The 9,451-nt window shown below is 42.4% G+C and overlaps 1 annotated feature.

The window, feature by feature from the left end:
• Positions 1-201: a silencer, noted in NCBI's record as "peak823 fragment used in MPRA reporter construct". NCBI's record gives its function as "represses an SCP1 promoter by STARR-seq MPRAs in K562 erythroleukemia cells {active_cell/tissue: K562}" and the evidence as "EXISTENCE:reporter gene assay evidence [ECO:0000049][PMID:32103011]".

Below are 9,451 nucleotides of genomic sequence, written 5' to 3'. Positions count from 1 at the left end.
GATTGTCCTCCAAAGCAGCTGTGCCAACGTATATTCCCAACAGCGGTACATGAGGGCTCCACGTTGTTCACCTCCTTGCCAACAATTGTTATCTGACTTTCCAATTACAGTCATCCTAGCTGATGTGAAGTGGCCTGTCGTGGCTGTGATTTACATTTCTCTAGTGACTAATGATATCAAGCATCTTTTTAGGGGTATTTGTGTATCTTCCTGGAGAAGTATCAATTCAGATTCTTTGCTCATTTTTTAAACTGGGTCATCTTTATTATTGAGCTGATCTTTATAGATTATGAATATGAATCCTTATCAGATACATGATTTGCAAATTTTCCTCCCATTCTGTGGACTGTATTTTTCACATTCTCAGTGTTCTTTGAAGCAGAAACATTTTAAATGTTGGCAATTTTCTTGCTTTGCTTTAGATGTCATATCTAAGAATCCCTTGTCCAATCCAAGGCCATGCAGATTTACTCCTGTTCTCCTAAGGCTTTTATAGTTTTAGCTCTTACGTTTAGGCTTTTAATTCAAGATAATTTTGTATATAGTAAGAGTTCATTTTTTTTTTTTTTAAGAGACAGAGCCTCACTGTGTCACCCAGGCTGGGGGGCAGTGGTGTGATCAAAGCTCGCTGTAACCTCAAACTCCTGGGCTCAGGTACTCCCCGTACTTCAGCCTCCAAAATAGCCAGGGCTATAGGTATGTGCCACTATGCCCAACTTTTTTTTCTTTTTTTAATCGAGATAGGGTCTCACTATGTTGCCAGGCTGGTCTCAAACTCCTGGCCTCAAGCTATCCCCCTACCTCAGGCTCCCAAAGAGTTGAGATTACAGGCGTGAGCCACTGCATCCAGCCAATTTCATTCTTTCTCACATAGCTATCCCATTCTCCCAGTATCATTTCTTAAAAAGGCTCTTCTTTTCCCCATTGGATGGTTCTAGCAGCCTTGTTGAAAAATCAGCTGACCATAGATGTCAGGGTTTATTTTTGGACTCAATTCTATTAATTTGTATGTCTGTCCTTGTCAATACCACACTGCCTTCATTACTGTTGGTTTGTATTAAGTTGTGAAATCAGGAAGTGTGAATTCTACTTTTTTCTTCATTTTCAAGATTGTTTTAGCTACTATGGGTCCTTTGCAATCCATATGAATTTTAGAAGCAGCTCATCATGGCCAGGCATGGTGGCTCACGCCTGTAATCCCAACATTTTGGGAGGCTAAGACGGGTGGATCACCTGAGGTCAGGAGTTCGAGACCAGCCTGATCAACATGGTGAAACCCTGTCTCTAAGAAAAATACAAAAATTAGCCAGGCATGGTGGTGGGCGCCTGTAATCCCAGCTATTCAGGAGGCTGGGGCAGGAGAATTGCCTGAACCCGGGAGGCAGAGGTTGCAGTGAGCTGAGACTGTGCCACTGCACTCCAGCCTGGGTGACAGAGTGAGACTCCGTCTCCAGAAAAAAAAAAAAAAAAAAAAAAAAAAAAAATTAGCTCAGCATTTTCTACAAAGAAGTCAGGTGGGTTCTCCTAGGGATTGCACTGGATCTGTATGTTAGTTTGGTGAATACTGCCTTCCAAATGACCTTAAGTCTTCTGATCCACGAACATAGGATGTTTTTTCAGTCTCTGGTTTCTTAGTTTCTTTCAACAAAGTCATATAGCGGGCCCGGTGCAGTGGCTCACGCCTGTAATCCCAGCACTTTCGGAGGCTGAGGCGGGCGGATCACGAGGTCAGGAGATCGAGACCATCCTGGCTAACACGGTGAAACTCCGTCTCTACTAAAAATACAAAAAATTAGCCGGGCGTGGTGGCGGGCGCCTGTAGTCCCAGCTGCTCAGGAGGCTGAGGCAGGAGAATGGTGTGAACCCGGGAGGCGGAGCTTGCAGTGAGCCGAGATCGCGCCACTACACTCCCAGCCTGGGCGACAGGGTGAGACTGTCTCACAAAAAAAAAAAAAAAAAGTCATATCGATTTCAGAGTATGGTTTGTACTTCTTTCATTAAATGTATTCCTATTTTATCATTATTTATTTATTTATTTTTGAGACAGTTTTTCACTCTTGTTGCCCAGGCTAGAGTGCTGTGGCACAATCTCAGCTCACTGCACCCTCCACCTCCCAGGTTCAAGCGATTCTCCTGCTTCAGCCTCCCAAGTAGCTGGGATTACAGGTGCCCTCCACCATGCCCGGCTAATTTTTTTGTTTGTATTTTTAATAGAGACAGGGTTTCACCATGTTGGCCAGGCTGGTCTCGAACCCCTGACCTCAGGTGGTCCACCCACCTTGGCCTCCCAAAGTGCTGGGATTACAGGCGTGAGCCACTGCACCCGGCCTTATAATTTTTTATTTTTGTGGGTACCCACAAAATTATGTAACTGCCTTACAGTTAAAGGGGGGCGTGCCACACCATGCAGAGCCACATGGGGAAGTACCAAGAACAGGCAAAACAAAGGAGAGAGCAGGACTTAGAGCTTTTGCCGTAGTTTCTGCAGGAAGGAATGGGCAAGGCAGAGGAGACAAGTTTGACAAGTTTAGGATTGGATAGTATGAATAATTTTGATGGACTCTGACCTTTAAGAGTGGTCTTTAGTTGTTTCGTACCTGGCCTTGGGGGTGATTTAGAGCAGGGGAAGTACTGGCTTGGTGTATAGGAGTTAGATAGAGGAGGTAGTTGGGGATACGGGCTTTGATTGGTGTATAGGAGTTAGATAAAGGAAGTAGTTGGGGATATGGGCTTTGACTGCTGTATAGGACTTAGATAGAGGAGGTAGTTGGGAATATGGGCTTTGATTGGTGTACAGGAGTTACACAGAGGGGGTAGTGGGGATATGGGCTTTGATTGATTGGTTTGCACATGAAAGGCAAGTTGTTTGCTATCTCTAAGAATCTGATAGCCTTGGTGAGCTGCAGGACGTCAAACCATCATAAAGTATAGATCTCCACAGGATGCCATAGTGAATAGTGCTATGTTTTCCTGAGGAGATATAAGACTTAGCTACTCGGCCGGGCGCGGTGGCTCACGCCTGTAATCCCAGCACTTTGGGAGGCCGAGATGGGCGGATCACAAGGTCAGGAGATCGAGACCATCCTGGCTAACAAGATGAAACCTCGTCTCTACCAAAAATACAAAAAAATTAGCTGGGCATGGTGGTGAGTGCCTGTAGTCCCAGCCACTTGGGAGGCTGAGACAGGAGAATGGCGTGAACCCGGGAGGCGGAGCTTGCAGTGAGCCGAGGTCATGCCACTGCACTCCAGTCTGGGTGACAGAGCGAGACTCAGTCTCAAAAAAAAAAAAAAAAAAAAAAGACAGCTACTCATAATTATGACATAATCATGATTGGTAATGTGGGGAAGCAAATGTCTCAAAGCTTCTATACATATGTATATATTTTTTCATATATACAGAAAATTTTAAAATACGATTAATACAATAATTTCCGTTGTTGAACCAACTTTGAAGCCCTAGGATAAATTCCATTTGGTCGTGGTATGCAATTCTTTTTATACATTGCTGGATTTAGTTTCATAGTATTTTGTTGAGGATTTTTGCACGCATAATCATAAGAGATAATGGTTTGTAATTGTGTTTTTTCTTTTTGAGACGCAGTCTCACTCTGTCACCCAGGCTGGAGTGCAGTGGCGCAGCGTCAGCTCACTGCAACCTCCACCTCCTGGGTTCAAGCAATTCTCATGCCTCAGCTTCTTGAGTAGCTGGGATTACAGGCACCCACCACCACGCCCGGCTAATTTTTGTATTTTTAGTGGAGACACAGTTTCACCATGTTGGTCAGGCTGGTCTCGAACTCCTGACCTCATGATCCACCTCCCTCAGCCTCCCAAAGTGCTGGGATTACACGTGTGAGCCACCGTGCCCGGCATGTAGTTTTTTGTTTGTTTTTGTTTTTCTGAGACAGAGTCTCACTCTGTCGCCCAGGCTGGAGTGCAGTGGCACAATCTTGGCTCACTGCAAGCTCTGCCTCCTGGGTTCAGGCCATTCTCCTGCCTCAGCCTCCCAAGTAACTGGGACTAAAGGCACCTGCCACCACGCCTGGCTAATTTTTTCTATTTTTGGTAGAGATGGGGTTTTACCATGTTAGCCAGGATGGTCTCGATCTCCTGACCTCGTGATCCACCCGCCTCGGCCTCCCACAGTGCTGGGATTACAGGCGTGAGCCACCGCGCCCGGCCAGCATTTCTACTTCTATGTCTTCCCTTGTTCTAGGTCTATTTAGATTTTTTTCTTGAGTCAATTTCTGTTATTTCTGCCTTTGTAGGAATTTATTTCATCTAAGTTATCTAATTTGTTGGTATTTATTTGTTCAAAGTATTCCTTTATAATCCTTTCTTTAATCATAGTTTTCTTTCATTCTGTGAATATATTCATAATGACTACTTTAAAAGTATTTTTCTGATAAATCCTGCATCTGCTCACTCTGTTTTTGTTACCTGTTTCTTCCTCAGTGTATGGATCATACTTTCCTGTTACTTTGCGTGCCTCCTAATTTTTTCTTAGAAACTGGACATTGTAGATATATTGTAGCAGCTCCTAGCTCTGCGTCTCCTCTGTGGCTTGTTACTTTCATTTGCCAGTTTGTTTAGTGACTGGCTGAATTATTTTAGTAAAGTCTATTATGTCCCCCAGCCCCCACCGTTGTTCCTTAGGGAAGCACAGTTTTGGGTCTGCCCCAGTCACGCTGGGAGAACAATGGTTTTGGTAGGGCCCCCTTCCTGTCTTTCCTTGCCCATGCCCAGCTGTTAAACTTCACTATTTGCTGGCTGATTATTGTTTTCAACAATGTCCTGGGGTATAAATTGCTTTACAAGTGAATCTGATCAAATTCTGCTTCCTTTGCAGGGAATCGTTTCTAAAACCAGTGTTTGATATTTTTTGACCTTCCAGCTATCTTATTCTCCAGTTCATCCCCACAAATTAGAGGGCATACACTTTTACTTGTATTTGACTCTTTTCTCAGTTGTCTTTCATCACAACCTCCACCATTCTCGAGGGCATCCTTAGGCTTGAACTTCCCCAATCTGTTACAAATGAAGTCAGTTCCTTTAGGAAGAGATGTTAGGCACCATGGGTTGTATGGCCTAATTATCCCCCAGGCAAAATCTCTAAGCCAGAGCTCTGGAATTGGATGTGTGAACAATAGTCAATTGCTCTTCAGATGACACCTGCTCTAGGAGCTGAGTCCTCAGTGGAGGTGGGGTCCTAGCCTAAGGTCCTCTCAGCTTGTCTCTCCTGGTGTTGAACCCTCTCAGGACCCAGGGCAAAAGTGGTAAGTACTCCAGTAAGCTCAGCATGCTGCAACCAAAATAGAGCCTCCATTCCTCGAGTGAGAGCTGGGTGTGAAAGGGAGACCCCCAATTAACCTGACACTTGGCCTCACTAACAGGTAGAGAGAGGCAGAATGAGAAATGCTAATATCTTGATCTTCCTGGAAGAAAGTCCTCCAGCTGCGATCTGGAGCAGAGACAGAACCCTGTGTTACTGGCTCTAGCTGTCCAGAGTGGAATCTCCACCTTCCTGAGCTGGCAGGGAAAGGAAAGGAATGATCTTGCTTCAAATACCACAAACTCTTTTCTTACCAAATTTTAGTACATTTTCTTGAATAGATGCTTTTTTTTTTCTTTTTGAGACAGTCTCACTCTGTCGCCCAGGCTGGAGTGCCGTGGTGCAATCTCAGCTCACTACAGCCTCCACCTCCCAAGTTCAAGCTATTCTTATGCCGTAGCCTCCTGAGTAGCTGGGATTACAGGCACCTGCCATCACACACACATAATTTTTGTATTTTTAGTAGAGACGGGGTTTCACCATGTTGGCCAGGCTGGTCTCAAACTCCTGACCTCAAGTCATCCGCCCGCCTTAGCCTCCCAAAGTGCTGGGACTACAGGTGTGAGCCACCGCGCCCGGCCATGAATAGATGTTTCTTCATGTGCTGTTTGTCCTTAGGACCATTAAAAAGTGTTTTTTTTTCTTCATTTTCATTTTTTAATGGATAATTTTTCACTAGTTTTACTGGGGAGTTCACCAGTTATGCAGGAAGTCAGTATCTCCACTACTGTAGTTATTGTTATTAGTATACCTGGGTGTTAGAGAGCCAGCTCTTCTCAGAAAGTTAATGTGACTAGAGACAAGCCTTTCAAAAATTCCGAGGGAGTACAGGAACAACTGCTTGTCATAATAGCTGCTAAAAGTAACACAATTAGAGAACAAACTGAGGGAAGGGTAAGTTCTTGGCTTAATTTCTTACTAGGTATAAAGACTTGCAAAACAATGAACTTGGATAACAAAGAGAAACTGGAATGATTGACTCCGAATTTGTAATTTGACTGTAGAGAGAGAAGAATTCTGGGAGCAAATGTGTGATTTCCATGCATTCCAGAACTACCACCACTACACAGGACCCTAAGAATCCAGAGCATGTGAAGACATTTACTTTTGACCTGGCATATTGGTCTCACAATGGATTTCAAAGGGATAAGGATGGTGTCCTTATTTCAGCTGATCCTAGTCGTAAATTTGCAGGCCAGGTAAGTTGCTTTAAAACACAGCTTCAATGCCAGTTTTTTGTTGTTTTGTTTTTGATGATGTGTTCACAGTGTGAAAGTATAATAATTTTATGCAAGCATAAATCTATGTTTCCATATGAGAATTTCACTTTAAATTTACTCCTTTTCTATGCTGAACGTGAGGTCCAAAAACACAGCTATGGCCTAAGTAATTTTTAGATACTCAAATCAGTTCATTTGCCAATGTATTGACACACTGAAAAAGGTATGACAGTCAAGTCAATTATATTTTGCTTCCTTGAGATAAGCAAAATAAGCAAACTGTATGAGGCACTTAGCATCTGAGAACTTCTGTTTTAATGAGCATTTATCATATGCCATGCACTGTTCTGCCTGAAAGTTGCTCACAATTTGGTTTGGGGAGACAGGAAAAAAGTACACTCAGATGTTACAGGCTCTGTGATAAGATGTATGGGATACAGTGGGGTACAAAGGTGAGGTGGTCATTCAATCTAGACAGGATATCTGGTGAATGGTTTAATAAAGGGTATGATGTTTAGGCTGAATTTTGACAGACAAGGAGAAACAGTCAGAAAAAGTTATGGGGAGGAAATGAACAGAGCCTCAGTGACATGTGGGACAATCTTACTCTACATGTAATTGGAGTCACAGAAAGAATGGGAGGGGCGTGTGTGCAAAAAATACTTGAAGGAATGATGGCTGAAATTTTCCCAAATTTGATGGAAACTATAAACCCACAGGTCTAAGAAGAGCAATAAGTCCTAAGTAGAATAAGGAAAATCACAGTAAGTCTCATTTTAATTAAATTGCTCTAATCCAGTGATAAAATCTTAAAACAAGTGAGAAAAGATGGAGGAACAACAAGAATGACCGCAGATATATTGTCAGAATTATGCGAGCTAGAACACAATGGAGAGACTTACGAGCTGAAAGCAATTCTCAACCTTGGGCAGGAGCAGTGGTTCATGCCTGTAATCCCAGCACTTTGAAAGGCCGAGGCAGGTAGATTGCTTGAAGTCAGGAGTTCAAGACTAGCCTGGCCAACATGGTGAAACCCCATCTCTCCTAAAAATACAAAACAAAACTAGCTGGGCATGGTGGCACATGCCTGTTATCCCAGCTACTAGGGAGGCTGAGGCAGGAGAGTCACTTGAACCCAGGAGATGGAGGTTGCAGTGAGCTGAGATCACACCACTGCGCTCTAGCCTGGGTGACAGAATGAGACTCCATCTCAAAAAAAAAAAAAAAGAAAAGAAAAGAAATTCTCAACCTAGAACACTGTGCCCAAGAAAATTTTTTTCTAATTTTGAATCTTTCAGAAAGATCACTGATTGTCAAAGCAAGAATAAATTCTGTTGGGATTCAAAACAAATACAGAAATAAAATATGACTACACCAAAAAAAACGAGACAGCTACCAGAAGTATATTGTTTGAAGGTTTTGCATTATAGAGGAAGTAATATAATATTTGAAAATAAAATATTTTAAAGAAATCTATTGTGACCCTAGAGCACAGGGTTTGTTTTATTACAAACACAGGGTGATGTTTTATTAACATCAGTTAATAAAAACATTAAAAATCCATTACTAGTAAACATACATAATATAAAAATATTTTTATGAAAAGTAATTTTTTTTATTATTTATTGATTTATTTATTTTGAGATGGAGTCTCACTCTGTCACCCAGGCTGGAGTGCAGTGGCGCAGTCTTGGCTCACTGCAACTTCTGCCTCCCAGGTTCAAGCGATTCTCCTGCCTCAGCCTCCCAAGTAGCTGGAATTACAGGTGTGTGCCACCACACCTGGCTAATTTTTGTATTTTAGTAGAGATGGGATTTCACCATGTTGGCCAGGCTGGTCTCGAACTCCTGACCTCAAGTCATCCGCCCGCCTCAGCTCCCAAAAGAGCTGGGATTACAGGTGTGAGCCATCACGCCCGATCTATTTTTATTTTTCTTTAGAGATGAGCTCTTGCTCTGTTGCCCAGCCTGGTCTCGAACTCCTAGGCTCAAATGATCCTTCTGCCTCTGCCTCCCAAAGTGATGGGATCTTAAGTGTGAAACACCATGTCAGGCCAAAAAATAGTACTCGAGCCGACACTGAAGAGAATGGCACTGCTTTCCATTTTTTGAAATCTCTGTAATGTCTGACTTCATGAAAGAGCTTGATTCTCTGCCCTGCATGTCATCTATAAAATCACGTTACATAGCCTCTGGCAAATCCCACTGCACACGTTACTCCACTCTACGCTCATGAGAGGATGAGAATGAAAAAAGCAAACATTAGTACGATCACAAAAGGAAGTGTCACTTTACAAACACCCTGAAAAGATCTCACAGACCCTGGAATGCACTGTGTGAACTGATGCCCTAGAGCAATCAATACAAAATAAATAAATAAAACAAGTATAACTAACTAATGAGTCAAGTGTGGGGAAACGGAACTATAAAACATTCTTTACCCCTCTTATCCTGCCATGTTTGGGATTTAGACACAGAGGAGATGGGATAAGTAGAATACAAATAGCAAGACAGTAGATTTAATGCCAATAATTTATATCAATTATTATGTAAAACATAAATAGTCTAAACATGACCAATTAAAAAGCAAAGATCATCAGATAAGATAGAAAAAGCAGGATCCAACTATATCTGTCTACAAAATGTGTGTGTGGGTTGGGGGTGGTTTAAGTGCTTCTGTATCACAGGATTTTTAAAAACCTGGTTTACATATTTAAAAAAAAAGCATGAAAACACTAACAAAAAAAAAAACTAGAGGCTACATTTACATCACATTGCATAGGCTTCAGAACAAGAAATATTTAATAATGAGGAAAGAGTTCATTAAGGAAACATAGCCAGCCTGAATGGGTATGTACCTAAAAAATGAGCTTTAAAGTAAACAAAGCAAAAATAGA

Source organism: Homo sapiens, chromosome 1 (assembly GCF_000001405.40).
Source record: "Homo sapiens chromosome 1, GRCh38.p14 Primary Assembly".
NCBI lineage: Eukaryota > Metazoa > Chordata > Mammalia > Primates > Hominidae > Homo > Homo sapiens.
Note: the sequence above shows the minus strand (reverse complement) of the source record. Positions and strands in the feature narration are given on the sequence as shown.